The 15,691-nt window shown below is 42.3% G+C and overlaps 1 protein-coding gene and 1 long non-coding RNA gene across 15 annotated transcripts in view, besides 3 other annotated features; one reads left to right on the top strand and one right to left on the bottom strand.

The window, feature by feature from the left end:
- Positions 1-1,818: 1,818 nt before the first annotated feature.
- LOC124904175 (uncharacterized) lies at positions 1,819-14,061 on the bottom strand. The gene is made up of 2 exons (XR_007066074.1): positions 13,479-14,061; positions 1,819-2,264 (listed from the first exon to the last, which is right to left on the bottom strand). It is a non-coding gene; the product is annotated as an uncharacterized LOC124904175 (long non-coding RNA).
- Positions 4,087-4,928: an enhancer, noted in NCBI's record as "NANOG-H3K27ac hESC enhancer chr1:48945175-48946016 (GRCh37/hg19 assembly coordinates)". NCBI's record gives its function as "activates a minimal SCP1, AML or CMV promoter by ChIP-STARR-seq in naive H9 embryonic stem cells {active_cell/tissue: H9 hESC(naive)}" and the evidence as "EXISTENCE:reporter gene assay evidence [ECO:0000049][PMID:30033119]".
- Positions 11,896-11,945: an enhancer, noted in NCBI's record as "active region_1010". NCBI's record gives its function as "activates an Ori minimal core promoter by ATAC-STARR-seq in GM12878 lymphoblastoid cells {active_cell/tissue: GM12878}" and the evidence as "EXISTENCE:reporter gene assay evidence [ECO:0000049][PMID:35858748]".
- Positions 12,156-12,545: a silencer, noted in NCBI's record as "silent region_861". NCBI's record gives its function as "represses an Ori minimal core promoter by ATAC-STARR-seq in GM12878 lymphoblastoid cells {active_cell/tissue: GM12878}" and the evidence as "EXISTENCE:reporter gene assay evidence [ECO:0000049][PMID:35858748]".
- SPATA6 (spermatogenesis associated 6) overlaps positions 12,227-15,691 on the top strand; it is a 210,816-nt gene continuing 207,351 nt past the window's right edge. For all 14 annotated transcript variants that reach the window (XM_047422913.1, XM_047422901.1, XM_006710699.4 and 11 more), the window contains exon 1: positions 12,227-12,473. In XM_047422913.1, coding sequence (XP_047278869.1) covers positions 12,423-12,473 — 51 coding nt within the window. In that variant the 5' untranslated portion in view covers positions 12,227-12,422. The remainder of the gene's footprint in view (positions 12,474-15,691) is intronic.

Here is a 15,691-nt window from a genome sequence, read left to right as displayed (position 1 = left end):
TGAGGTTCAGACTGTTGAAACCACATGGCCAAGGTCACATAGCTATCAAGTGGTAAAGGTAGTATTAACCTCAAATCGGCCTGCCTTCGAAGGCTAAATTTTGTCCATTGAACAATATGGCCAAAAGAAAGAGATCCTCAGGTACAAAATCCCCTTCCAAGGGTCTTCAATTCAATCCAACACATTTGTAATTGAGTACCTTTTTCATGCTAAACTTTCTTGTTTTATACAAAGAAAATGAAGATGTGGTTATTGCTCACTAGGAGTTTACAATCTTGAGAAAAGATGTAGGCCAAGTTACTTGACCTCTAACTACTTCTTTTTCTCATCCACAAAGTGAGACAATTGGAATATTTTAAAAAATATATATATATATTTTTATATATATGTGTATATATATATTTTATATATATGTGTATATATATATTTTATATATATGTGTATATATATATTTTATATATATGTGTATATATATATTTTATATATATGTGTGTATATATATACTTTATATATATGTGTGTATATATATTTTATATATATGTGTATATATATATATTTTATATATATGTGTATATATATATTTTATATATATGTGTATATATATATTTTATATATATGTGTGTATATATATATTTTATATATATGTGTGTATATATATTTTATATATATGTGTATATATATATTTTATATATATGTGTATATATATATTTTATATATGTGTGTATATATATATTTTATATATGTGTGTATATATATATTTTATATATATGTGTGTATATATATATTTTATATATATGTGTGTATATATATATTTTATATATATGTGTGTATATATATATTTTATATATATGTGTGTATATATATATTTTATATATATGTGTGTATATATATATTTTATATATATGTGTGTATATATATATTTTATATATATGTGTGTATATATATATTTTATATATATGTGTGTATATATATATTTTATATATATGTGTGTATATATATATTTTATATATATGTGTGTATATATATATATTTTATATATATGTGTGTATATATATATATTTTATATATATATGTGTGTATATATATATATTTTATATATATATGTGTATATATATATATATATATATTTTTTTTTTGAGACAGAGTCTCGCTCTGTCGCCCAGGCTGGAGTGCAGTGGCGCGATCTCAGCTCACTGCAACCTCCACCTCCTGGGTTCAAGCCGTTCTCCTGCCTCAGCCTCCCGAGTAGCTGGGACTACAGGCACGTGCCACCACGTCCAGCTAATAGTTTTGTATCTTTAGTAGAGATGGGGTTTCACCATATTGGTCAGGATGGTCTCGATCTCTTGACCTCATGATCCGCCCACCTCAGCCTCCCAAAGTGCTGGGATTACAGGCGTGAGCCACCACTCCCAGCCTAAAATATTTTTATGATCAGATTTTTTTTCCCATGGATATTTGGAAGAATATATATATATACAGATAAAATAGGATGTTAAGGGAGCACAGAGAAGAGGCACCTAACCCACACTTCAGATGGGATAGAAGTTCTTAACGATTTTTACAATTTGATATCTTACTTTCCTTATGTGGCCCAGCTAAAATGAAACCTTTTATGATTCCCCTAATTCAGAATTTCCCAAACTGGATGCTTAGTTAAAAACAAACAAACAAAAACAGTGGTTAGGAAAGGTTAAGAAGCTATTTTAGATCCAACCCTATATAGATGTTCAACACCATGACTTCTAAGTGTTTTTGACATCAGAAAGTATTATTAAAGAAAGATTTAACTCAAAAAACAACTTTAAACACAACCTATGAAACATGCCATTCATTTAATATTTCCTAGCAACAAGCCACCTACTGATACATATTAAGGCAAAGGATAGTTAATAGTAAAACAGAATGGAATTGGTACTTTCACATCCACTCACAACGGAATAGCTGGTGCCAGATTAACCTTCTTGGTTTAAATAAATATTAAACTGGATGAAATATAGGAAGCAACTGTTTTCAGATGGTAGGCAATAGGTAGCACAATCTGTGATCCCTGAGATAATGAAACTGTAGCAGTTGCTAATGGACAAGCCTCTGGAGGCTCACCCTGTGCATGTAACATTTATCCCTCAGCCTTGAATGTTTGGAGAAACTCCTGCTAGGTTTCTGGGTCTCTCTCTTCAGGGTTGTCTTTTCTTAGATTCTCTGAATTGCAGATTCCAGCTGCTTCAACTGCCAAACTGATCTTGCCTCCTCAGTTCAGGGATCTGCAAGATAAGAGCATTTGCTTTTATATATGCTCTTATTTTATGAGGTTGGTATAATCTAGATTCCAAAATCAGGAAAGGGCAATAAAAGAAAAAAATTATAGGTCCAATTCTCTTATGAATATGATGCAAAAACCTAAATAAAATATTAACTAACAATACAGAAGCATTTTCACAAAATAACAGTACAGGGCTACAAGAAAGGTTCATCATCAGAAAAAACTATTGATATAATTTATTTCATAAATTGGTTGAAGTTGAAAGCTCATATGATTATCTCAATAATCAGTATAGAAAGAGCACTTGACACTGTTCAATATCTATTTACTTTTTATGTGTTAATATGGAATTAAACATAAACAAAAGTAGGAAAAAATAGTAAAATCAACTCCAGCATACTTGGCACTAGCCTTCAACAATTACGTGGCTAATTTGTTTCATCCATACCTTCACCTACTTTCCATCACTACCACTTCCAACCTCGCTTGGAGTATTCTGAAGCAAATCCCAGACATCATATTTTATCCATAAATACTTCAATGTGTACCACTTTTTTTGAAAGAGCTCTTTAAAAAAATAACAGGACCCTAGTATTACTATTATACTTAAACATTTAACAGTAATTCCTTAAGATCATGTATCCAGTAGCATTCAAATATCTGCAATGGTCTCATAAACACTTTACATTAGGTTTACTTCAGTCTTTTTAATACATAAAGTCTTCTTTGCAATTTATTTGTTGAAGAAATACTATTGTGTTTATTTTGCTGCTTGCATCCCTATGGTTTTGTCTAACGAGTTACTTTACATTTTATATGTCCTGTATGTTGGTGACAGATTTGGATGCTTGATCAGATTCAAGTTTGATTTTTTTGACATGAATGGTGATATTGTGTACTTCTAATTGCATCATCTCAAAGGACATACTGTTTTTTGTGATATTAAGATTGATCAGTGTGTTTGAGTGCTATCAGACTAATCTATTATGAAATTCTTCATCAGCTTTTCAGTAATGGTTTTTAGCAGCCAAGAATATTCTAATTCTTTATTCTTATTCATTTATAGTGGGGATTTTTCTATAAAGAACTTTCTTTCATCAGCTCTTTGGTCACCCTGAGGTAGAGTTCAAACAAGATATTCAGGATAAATGCTTGATTCGTTTTATTTCTCAGTTTTTGGAATGAACTGGTTCTTAAAGTCATCCAAATCTGACCAATGCTTTTTTCCCTTTGAATAACATTACCAACTCATGAATTTTCAACATATTTGATGTACTTCAATGCAATACAATTATTATTTGTTTTGGTATTTGTGGCAGGCAGAATAATGAACCCCCAAAGATGTCCATGTCCTTATTTCTGAAATCTGTGACTATGTTATCTTACATGGAAAAGAGAATTAAGGCAATCAATAGAATTAAAGTGGCTAATCAGCTGACCTTTAGATAAGGAGATTACCCTGGTTATCTTTGTAGGCTCAGTGTAACCACAAGGGTCCTTAAAAGTGGAAGAGTGAAGTAGAAGAGTAGGTTAGAGTGATGTAATGTGAGAAAGGCTGAATGAGGAATTGCTAACTTTGAAGCTAGAAGAAGGGGACTATGAGCTGAGGAAAGCTAATGGCTTTTACAAGTTGGAAAGGACAAGAAAATGGATTTTCTCCTAGAGCATTCAGAAAGGAATCCAGCCCTACTGACCCCATGATGTTAATCCAGCAAAACTTATATTGGACTTCTGACCTACACAACTAAAAGATAATAAATTTATGTTGTTTAAGCCACTAAGTTTATGGTAATTTGTTATGTTAGCAATGAAAAATCAGTGTAGTGCTTATCATCTCTGTGAGAATAATATTAATACTAACAATGGAACAGAGAAACTATTTCTTTTTTTTTTTTTCCACTTTGTTTTTTTTTTCTTTTCTTCTTTTTTTTTTTTATTGATCATTCTTGGGTGTTTCTCGCAGAGGGGGAGTTGGCAGGGTCATAGGACAATAGTGGAGGGAAGGTCAGCAGATAAACAAGTGAACAAAGGTCTCTGGTTTTCCTAGGCAGAGGACCCTGCGGCCTTCCGCAGTGTTTGTGTCCCTGGGTACTTGAGATTAGGGAGTGGTGATGATTCTTAACGAGCATGCTGCCTTCAAGCATCTGTTTAACAAAGCACATCTTGCACCGCCCTTAATCCATTTAACCGAGTGGACACAGCACATGTTTCAGAGAGCACAGGGTTGGGGGTAAGGTCACCGATCAACAGGATCCCAAGGCAGAAGAATTTTTCTTGGTACAGAACAAAATGAAAAGTCTCCCATGACTACTTCTTTCTACACAGACACGGCAACCATCCGATTTCTCAACCTTTTCCCCACCTTTCCCCCCTTTCTATTCCACAAAACCGCCATTGTCGTCCCGGCCCGTTCTCAATGAGCTGTTGGGTACACCTCCCAGACGGGGCGGCTGGCCGGGCAGAGGGGCTCCTCACTTCCCAGTAGGGGCGGCCGGGCAGAGGCGCCCCTCACCTCCCGGACGGGGTGGCTGGCCGGGCGGGGGGCTGACCCCCCCACCTCCCTCCCGGACGGGGCGGCTGGCCTGGCAGGGGCTGACCCCCACCTCCCTCCCGGACAGGGTGGCTGCCGGGCGGAGACGCTCCTCACTTCCCAGACGGGGTGGCTGCCGGGCGGAGGGGCTCCTCACTTCTCAGACAGGACGGTTGCCAGGCGGAGGGTCTCCTCACTTCTCAGATGGGGCGGCCGGGCAGAGACGCTCCTCACCTCCCAGACGGGGTCGCGGCCGGGCAGAGGCGCTCCTCACATCCCAGATGGGGCGGCGGGGCAGAGGCGCTCCCCACATCTCAGGCGGTGGGCAGCCGGGCAGAGACGCTCCTCACTTCCTAGATGGGATGGCGGCCGGGCAGAGACGCTCCTCACTTTCCAGACTGGGCAGCCAGGCAGAGGGGCTCCTCACGTCCCAGACGATGGGCGGCCAGGCAGAGACGCTCCTCACTTCCCAGACGGGGTGGCGGCCGGGCAGAGGCTGCAATCTCGGCACTTTGGGAGGCCAAGGCAGGCGGCTGGGAGGTGGAGGTTGTAGCGAGCCGAGATCACGCCACTGCACTCCAGCCTGGGCACCATTGAGCACTGAGTGAACCAGACTCCGTCTGCAATCGCGGCACCTCGGGAGGCCGAGGCTGGCAGATCACTCGCGGTTAGGAGCTGGAGACCAGCCCGGCCAACACAGCGAAACCCCGTCTCCACCAAAAAAGTATGAAAACCAGTCAGGCATGGCGGCGCGCACCTGTAATCGCAGGCACGCGGCAGGCTGAGGCAGGAGAATCAGGCAGGGAGGTTGCAGTGAGCCGAGATGGCAGCAGTACAGTCCAGCTTCGGCTGGGCATCAGAGGGAGACCATGGAAAGAGAAGGAGAGGGAGACTGTGGGCCATGGGGAGAGGGAGAGGGAGAAGGGAGAAGCAGGGAGAAGGGAGAAGGGAGAAGGGAGAAGGGAAAGGGGCCAGAGAAACTATTTCAATCAGCAAGGCTTTAACAGATTTGCCAGGATTAACTTATAAAGACAAAATTTCTGTATAGTTGCAATAACAAACTAGTAAAAATAATTAAAACTTAAGAAACTATTCTCAATATTATAAAGAAAAAACTATAGTTAAATACCTAGGAATTACATAAGATCTCTATGGACAAAACTTGAAGGACATAGACTATGTCTGATAGAGATACAGTCCAGCTGGGCACGATGGCTCATGCCTGTAATCCCAGCACTTTGGGAGGCCGAGGTGGACAGATCATGAGGTCAGGAGTTCGAGACCAGCCTGGCCAATATGGTGAAATCCCGCCTCTATTAAAAATACAAAAATTAGCCGGGCATGGTGGTGGGCGCCTGTAGTCCCAGCTACTCGGGAGGCTGAGGCAGGAGAATTGCTTGAATCCAGGAGGCAGAGGTTGCAGTGAGCCAAGATTGTGCCACACTGACTCCAGCCTGGGCAACAGAGTGAGACTCCATCTCAAAAAAAAAAAAAAAAAAAAAAGAGATATATTCCATGCACTTGGGTGGGATGACATAATATTACAAAGATGTCAATTCCCTGAATTAATCTATAAGTTTAATGTATCATTGTCAAAATTCCAGCTGGACTATTTGAGGAACTTGATAAAATTACTCTAAAATAAAAAGAAGCAATGAAGGATCACAAATAGCTAAATCTATCTCCTAAAAAAGGAGACTTGCCAAACAGAAGCCATAGTAATAAATAGAAGCAGTGTGGTACTGTTGCAAGAATAGACAAATAGAAGACTGGAACAGAAGAGCAAGGTTGAAATCAGAACTTTGGTAGTTAATACATAAGAAAGGTAGCACCACAAATCAATGAGGGGAAGCATAGAATGTTTAGTAGGTATTGTTGGAAAATCTAGCATACATTTTTAAAGGGGAAAACAACAACAACAAGAAAGTGAATCCTGGATTACTGTTTAACGTCATGTACAAAAATTGAGTCTTAATAGATTAAACATCAAAATGTGAAAGGTAAACTATAAAGTTAATATAAGAAAACAGAAAATACAGTATGTTTGAATCTGGGGACTAGGAAAACTGTTCATTTGTTTGTTTATTTTGAGACAGGGTTCTGTTACCCAAGCTGCAGTGCAGTGGCACAAACATCGCTCACTGCAGACCCCACCTCCTGGGCTCAAGCAATCCTACCTTAGCCTCCCAAGTAGCTGGGACCACAGGCATGAGCCACCATACCCAGCTAATTTTGGGAAGACTTACTAAAATGTTAAAAACACAACACAAATATAAGGCAAAAATGATTGATTTACATCGAAGTTAGGTTACTTCTATGAACGAAAGTACACCCTAATGGCCGGGTGCAGTGGTTCACGCCTGTAATCCCACCACTTTGGGAGGCCGAGGTGGGTGGTTCCCTTGAGCCCAGGAGTTTGAGACCAGCTTGGACAACATGGTGAAGCCTCATCTCTACAAAAAATGCAGAAATTAGCCAGGCGCTATGGTGCACGTTTGTAGTCCCAGCTACTTGGAAGGTTGAGGCAGGATTATCATTTGAGCTAGGGTGTATTAGTCCATTTTCATGCTACTGATAAAGACATACCTGAGACTGGGAAGAAAAAGAGGTTTACTTGGACTTACAATTCCACATGGCTGTGGAGGCCTCAGAATTCCACGTGGCTGGGGAGGCCTCAGAATCATGGCAGAGGCAAAAGGAACTTTTTCTTTTTTTTATTTTATACTTTAAGTTCTGGGATACATGTGTAGAACGTGCAGTCTTGTTACATAGCTAGTATACACATGCCATGGTGGTTTGCTGCACCCATCAACCCATCAGGTACATTAGGTATTTCTCCTAATGCTATCCCTCCCCTAGCCCCCCACCCCCCGACAGGCCCCGGTGTGTGATGTTCCCCTCCCTGTGTCCATGTGTTCTCATTGTTCAGCTCCCACTTATGAGTGACAACATGCGGTGTTTGGTTTTCCGTTCTTGTGTTAGTTTGCTGAGAATGATGGTTTCCAGCTTCATCCATGTCACTGCAGAGGACATGAACTCATCAAAAGGCACTTCTTACTTGGCAGCGGCAAGAGAAAATGAGGAAGATGCAAAAGCAGAAACCTCTAATAAAACTATCAGATCTCATGAGACTTATTCACTACCACAAGAACAGTATGGGGGAAACAGCCCCCATCATTCAAATTATCTCCCACTGGGTCCCTCCCATAACATGTGGGAATTATGGGAGTACAATTCAAGATGAGATTTGAGTGGGGACGCAGCCAAACCATATCATTCTTTCCCTGGCCCCTTCAAATCTCATGTCCTCACATTTCAAAACCAATCATGCCTTCCCAACAGTCCCCCAAAGTCTTAACTCATTTCAGCATTAACCCAAAAGTCCACACTGAGACAAGGCAAGTCCCTTTTGCCTATGAGCCAGTAAAATCAAAAGCAAGCTATTTACTTCCTGGATATGATTTGGGTACAGGTATTGGGTAAATACAGTCATTCCAAATGAGGGAAATTGGCCAAAACATAGGAGTTACAGGGCCCATGCAAGTCCAATGTCCAGCGAGGCTGTCAAATCTTACAGCTTCAAAATGATCTCCTTTGACTCCAAGGTCTCACATCCAGGTCACGCTGATGCAAGACGTGTGTTCCCATGGTCTTGGGAAGCTCTACCCCTGTGGCTTTGCAGGGTACAGCCTCCCTCCCAGCTGCTTTCACAGGCTGGTATTGAGTGTCTGTGGCTTTTCCAGGTGAATTGTGCAAGCTGTTGGTGGATCTACCATTCTGGGGTCTGGAGAACAGTGGCCCTCTTCTCACAGCTCCACTAGGTGGTGCCCCAGTAGGGACACTGTATGGGGGCTCCCAACCCCACATTTCCCTTCTTCACTGCCCTTGCACAGGTTCTCCATGAGGGCCCCACTCCTGCAACAAACTTCTGCCTGGGCATCCAAGTGTTTCCACATGTCTTCTGAAATCTAGGTGGAGGTTCCTAAACCCCAGTTCTTGACTCTGTGTACTTGCAGGCTCAACACCATGTGGAAGCTGCCAAGGCTTGGGGATTGCATCCCCTGAAGCCACAGCCCTATCTCTATGTTGGCCCCTTACAGCCATGGCTGGAGCAGCTGGGACGCAGGGCACCAAGTCCCTAGGCTGCACACAGCATGGGGACCCTGGGCCTAGCGCATGACACCATTTTCTCCTAGGCCTCGGGGCCTGTGATGGGAGAGGCTGCCGTGAAGCCCTCTGACATGGCCTGGAGACATTTTTTCCATGGTCTGGGGGATTAACATTTGGCTCCCCATTACTTGTGCAAATTTCTGCAGCCAACTTGAATTTCTCCTCAGAAAATGGGTTTTCCATTTCTATCGCATTATCAGGCTGCAAATTTTCCAAACTTTTATGCTATTCTTCCCTTATAATACTGAATGCCTTTAACAGCACCCAAGTCACATCTTGAATGATTTGTTGCTTAGAATTTTTTTCTGCCAGATACCCTAAATCACCTCTCTCAAGTTCAAAGTTCCACAAATGTCTAGGGCAGGGGCCAAATGCCCCCAGTCTCTTTGCTAAAACATAACAAGAGTCACTTTTGCTTCAGTTGCCAATAAGTTCCTCATCTCCACCTAAGACCACTTCAGCCTGGACCTTATTGTCCATGTGGCTATCAGGCTTTTGGCCAAAGCCATTCAACAAGTCCCTAGGAAGTTCCAAAGTTTCCCACATTTTCCTGTCTTCTGAGCCCTCCAAATTGTTCCAACCTCTCCCTGTTACCCAGTTCCAAAGTCGCTTCCACATTTTCGGATATCTTTTCAGCAACACCCACTCTACTGATACCAATTTACTGTATTAGCTCATTTTCATGTTGCTGATAAAGACACACCCAAGACTGGAAAGGAAAAAAGGTTTAATTGGACTTGCAGTTCCACAGGGAGGGGAGGCCTCGGAATCATGCCAGGAGGCAAAAGGCACTTCTTACATGTGGCAGAAAGAGAAAACAAGAAGATACAAAAGCGGAAACCCCTGATAAAACCATCAGATCTTGTGAGACTTATTCACTACCATGAGAACAGTATGGGGGAAACCACCCCCAAGACTCAAATTATTTCCCACCAGGTCCCTCCCACAACACATGGGAATTATGGGAGTACAATTCAAGATGAGATTTGGGTGGGGACACAGCCAAACCATATCACTGGGTAAGCAGAGGTTGCTGTGGGCCGAGATTGTGCTAGTGCACTCCAGAGCCTGGGTGACGGGTAAAACCCTGTCAAAAACAAAACAAAACAAAAAACACCCAAAAAACCCCAAAACAAAACAAAATCCTGGGCAAAGTTCATAAAAATACCATAAAGAGAGAAGATTTTTGTAGTGTCTTAGAATTAATTTATTAACTAACCAGAATACACAAAATTCCTAAAAAAAAGACAAAAATCCTGATAGAATATGGGGTAAAGCATTATGAGCAGATGATTTTTAGTAAAGATAGAAAATCTTATAAGCATATACAGACATGCTCAGACTCATCAGTAATCTGAAAAATTCAATAGTGAGATAACACTTTACATCTGTTATGTTGGGGGAAAACAAGAACCCTTGATAATGCCAAGCCTGGGAAGAATGTGGGGCCATAGTAACCTTCGAATATTGGGAGCATAGACTGGTATGGCATTCTGGATAGCAACTTGGAATTATATGGTCAAACTGAGAATACTCATACTCCATGACAACAATTTATCTTCTGTTCATCACAGACTATATGTAAAATTAAAATACAAACACAAAGTGGAAAGGATATTTGCAACATATAGAGTAGACATATAATTATTATCCAGAGTATATAAAGAACTGAGAGAGAGACCAACAGAAAAGGGGGCAAGATAACTACTTGGCAGTTCAATAAGAGATAATGGAAAGGCTAACAAAACCAAAGGTACTCAACCTCAACAGTACCCAGAGATTCAAGATAAAACCACAATGAAATACCTAAAATACACACATCCAAATATACAAAAGTTAAAAATCCAAACACAAATGTTGCTGATGATGTGGAAAAATAAGAACTCTTATACATAAGCACCAGAAACATAAATAGGTACACTACTTTGGAAAATGGTGTGGTCTTACTTTTTAAAGACCCACATGTGCAAAACCCTAATACCCAGCTAACCCACTCCTACGCTAGTACATGTGCATTAATAGACACAGACTTGTACTACAATGTTCACAACATTGTTAATAATAGCTAAAAATGAAAACAGTGTAAGTGATCATTGATAGTAGGAAGGATAAATCAATCTATATTGGAATACTGTCCAGCAATGGAAAAAACTTCAGCTACACAGCATCACCGGTGGCATAATATTAAGTGGGAGAAGCAAATCACAGAAGAATACATACAGTATTAATACCATTTATATACTATCAATACCGGAAAACATTAAACAATATCTTGTTTAGAAATGCATACATGAATGGCAAAAGGAAGAGAATTATTGTACAAAAGTCAGGGTAGTGGTTACTCCAGGGCGAGAAAGGCAATGTAATCGTTGGGGGCATTTTTCAGGTGCTGGTAATGTTTTATTTCTTAACCGGGTGCTAGTTGTACAGGTACTGTTCACATTATTATTAAGATAAACGTGTTTTATACACTTCTGCATGTATAATGTATTTTGCAATACAAATGATTTTTAACATGATTGGATTGGGCAATCTCTTAGGTTCTTTTTATCTTTGATGGTCTATTGTCAGGCCCTTCACAGCTGGACTTATTGTTGGCACCTCATTGACAGTTCCACTTAAGCAATATGCATTAAGACGCATACATGGGTGAATTAGACAGGAAAATTTGAAGGGAAAAGGGAACGCGCTAACAAAGGGAATCACAGAATAGGAGACTAGGAGTATGGACCATCTGATGCAAGCCCCTCTCCTCAGGGAGGCAACTGGGGTTTAACTTGAGAGCTCCTGGGTTCCAGTCCTGGTTCCGACTTTGATTTGGGCAAGTCTCTTCCCTAATTCCCAGTATCCTTATGCTGGCTTTGTAAACCGTGCCGTGAAATTTAAATAGGAGGACTAACAATAATTATTATTCTTTTACAATTGGGAAAACTGAGGCCACAGTGGGTCGCCACTAGCCCAAGGTGCCATCACCACGTTGTAACTCAGGGGTTCCCTCCGACGGCCTTACAGGAACTCCAACTCCCTGAACAGAGCACCGTCCCATTATACAAACAGCAGCTCCCTTTCGTCCGGCTTTGGGCGCAGTTTGACGTCACAGAAGAGCTGCCTTGCCTCACCCCGCCCCTTCGGAAGCCCCGCCCCCTGCCCGACTCCGCCTCGCTCGGCGTTCGTCAAGCTCCGCCTCCAGCGCTCGTCCCAGCGCGGGTAGCCCTGGAGTGCCCCGCGCGGCCTCTCTTCCGGCCCCGCCCCTCCTGGCTGCCATGACAACGAGTCTGCGCCCCGCGCTCAGCTGCTTCTCCGGCGGAACCCAGGCTGGACCGCGGGCCCCGGCCTGGGGGCCACTGCTGCCACCGCCGCCGCCACCTCGTCTCCTCCCCGTCCCCGCCCAGCCCCAGGTCTCCCCGCCTCACTCGGGCCCGTGGCCGGGGTCACTCCCCGCCGCCCCTCCCCGCACGGATGCCGAAGGTGAAGGCGCTGCAGTGCGCCCTGGCGCTGGAGATCAGCTCAGTGAGTACCGGTAGCGCCTCCCACCCCCGGGCATTGGCTCAGGGACTCCCTCAGTCACCTCCGAGAGCCCGGAACCACCCCCAAACCTCCTTCACCCTCCGAATCATCCCTAGGGAGCGTCGACCTCACGCCCCTTCGGTCCTGCCCCATCTTGTTCTCAGAAGCGCTCTCCCACTCCGGCCACGCAGAGGCCTGACCCCTGCTCCGCTATGCTGGCTTCAACCCGACTTCCAACTTGCGCGCTTTCAGATCGTTCCCAAATCACTTCAGAGTTCTTTCCTCGCTCCTAACTTTCCAGTGAGAGAGAGTGTATGTGCGCGGCGCGGGGGCTTTTCATTCCTCTTTCGGGCTCCAGTTCTCTTAGAGAATTATTGCCCCCGCCTTTCCCAAGTCTGGGGGTGGGCGTCGCATTTCCTCCCGAATCCCTGCAGGCACACCATTTCAGACCAGTTTCAAACCCGCATTAATGAAGGGGCCTTTCTTTATTCTGTCTTCGAAGGAGAATCTTCACATCCAACAACTGAAATGTGTCATTGCGCAAAGTACCTTGCCTTCCCTCCCAGGGCCTTACAGGAAAAACCCAACTCCTCAGAAATCACTTCAGGCCCCTCCCGTCCCCAGACCCTTCCGACTTTGTGCCAGCCATTGCAAGAAAGGCCCAGTCATTTTTATGAGGGAAACACCTCCTTCTCCAACCTTGCAACCCCACCCCTTCACTCTCCAGACTTGCTCAAGAGGATGCTTTCCTCCATCCTCCTGTGGAAGTCCAGCTGGGGCAGAGAACCCCACTCATCCAGTGAAGGGGCTGGACCTCTCCATGCTAGGAGAAAACTCTATTCCCCTTGTTGATCTCAGAAGACTTCCAAGGGTTTTGAACTTCTTCCCCTGCATTCTTTAGAGAACCCTCTCATTCCCCTGTTTAGAGGAATACTCCCGCTTGTCTGTTCTGGAGGAAATCTCCACAAGACCCTTTCCACACCCCGTTTTAGTCCTGCAGGCACAGACCTGTACGGAGTTTGGAACCAAAATTCACCATTCGGTCTCTTCGCTCCTTCTTACTCAGTAAGTCTTCTTATGTATATTGCCTTCTGTTTGATCTCCTAGGAAAACTTGGGGGTTGAGAGTGCTGAAATATTACCATTACTCTCCTGGGTGCTGCAGCCAGGAGCCCTCTGCATTTCCTTCCTGTACACCCTACTGGCCAGGCTCCACTTAACCCGTGCTTGCAGCTTCCCGCCTTTCCTGGCTGGCCTTCGTCACGTTAGAATGAGGTTGCTGCAGCACAGAACTTAAACCCCTAGGAAAATCACAGGACTGTTTTAGGTCTTTTGTTAGGTCTTAAAGAAGGCAAGTGTGCGTGGGGCAGAGTGTGAGGCAGTGGTGGTGAAGTAGAAATTTTCTTGGACTCTCCCTTTATCTTCAAGCCTGCAGAGATTTTTCTCGGAAACTCCATAGCCCTAGCTTTGCTTGTTTTCCTCCCAAAGCTGCCATTTTTGACAACTTTTTGTAAAGTAAAATTAGTTTAGCAAGAAGAATGCACGAAACTTTCTCGATCCCTTGGCCCAGGACACAAGTTAGTGAAACTCCTTCAGAGTTCAGCCTTAATAGATTTTGTTACTGGCTTCTTCCTCCTCCTGCCAACTAATGGTGTTTAGCAGTCTGGTGAGCGCAGCTGCCTGACTGGCTGGCTGCAGCTTCCCTAACGTTGCCAATACAAACTTTCTAAGAGGAAGTACTCTGTTGTAACTGATTACTGCTTGAAGGAGTCGGAGGAATAGCTACATTTCTCCTGAGTATTAGTTGTATTGCAGAAAAGTGAATGACTGTGTAATTCACTGTATAACGGAGCTTTGTTACTTATCAGAGCTAAAGAAAACTATGATGGTGGAAATAATATTTTTCCCCAACAAACATTTAAGTCACAGAATTTTATAGTTCCGAGACATCTTAGATGGAAATCATTGGATTCAATCCCTTTTTACAGCCAAGAAAATCGATGCTCAGCATGGCTATTATTTATCTAGGATTGCACAACTGTTTAGAAGCAGATGTGCAAAATGTTCCCGAATTTTTGAACAACAAAAGCCTTTTAAAATGGCTCTGATGCTCAGAAGGAGCAAACAAACAACGCCCCTGACCGCCCCCCCCACAAAAAAAACCCCACTAGCAGACGTAAAAGTTAAACATGTTTGATTGATTGATTAATTTGGCTTTGATTGAATAGAAAGGTTATATGACCCTAGATATTTTTAACATCTTCATTTTGATTTTAGTTCCTTTCTTGTCTATTTCCTTTTTACATTTACATGGTTCAAGTTCAAGACTATAACATGATATACTCAGAGAAGTGTTGCTTCCAGGCTCAAAACTATTTCCCACCTATACTCATCTGCTTTAACCATTTTCACTGGTTTTGATATAAACAGATACACAAACTCTCTCTCACATACCACACAACATATATATATATATATATATATATATAAATAGATATTTGTTTTTATGAAATAGGTAGCGTATAAACTATTCTGTACCTTTGCTTTTCTTCGTTCAGTATGTCCTGGAGATCACTCTGTATCTATTAAAACTGGCATCTTTCTCCCCAACTTTTTAAATGAAATTTTTCAAACATACAGAGTACTTAGAAGAATAGTTCAATGAATAACTGTAACCCATGACCATGTACATTAATTTGATTTGTCTATATGTATGTGTATGTTTATGTATAAATTTTTTATTTTTTTGCTAAAAATTGAAAATAAATTGACATAATGATACTCCACCTGTAAGTACTTCAGCATGTGTCTTCTAAAAATAAGGATATTAGCTGGGTATGATGACAGGCACCTGTAGTTCCAGCTACTCAGGGGACTGAGGCAGGAGGATTACCTGAGCCCAGGAGTTTGAAGCTGTAGTATGCTGTGAGCACACCTGTGAGTAGCCCTGCACTCCAGCCTGGGCAACACAGTGAGACCCTGTCTCTTAAATAAATACATACGTAAATAAAATTAAAAAATAAGGAGATTGTTCTGTATAACCCCAACACCATTATTACACCTAAGATAATTGGTGAGAAATTCTTAATATTTAGTTCATATTCAAGTTTTTCTGGTTGTCCCAAACATGAGTTCCATAGTTAACTTTTTCAAACCGGGATCCAGTCAAGGTTTATATATTACCTTTAATCATTTGATTGATAGGTCTTTGTAGTTCATTTT

This window comes from Homo sapiens, chromosome 1 (genome assembly GCF_000001405.40).
Source record: "Homo sapiens chromosome 1, GRCh38.p14 Primary Assembly".
Classification (NCBI taxonomy): Eukaryota; Metazoa; Chordata; class Mammalia; order Primates; family Hominidae; genus Homo; species Homo sapiens.
This window is presented reverse-complemented; position numbering and strand designations above follow the sequence as displayed.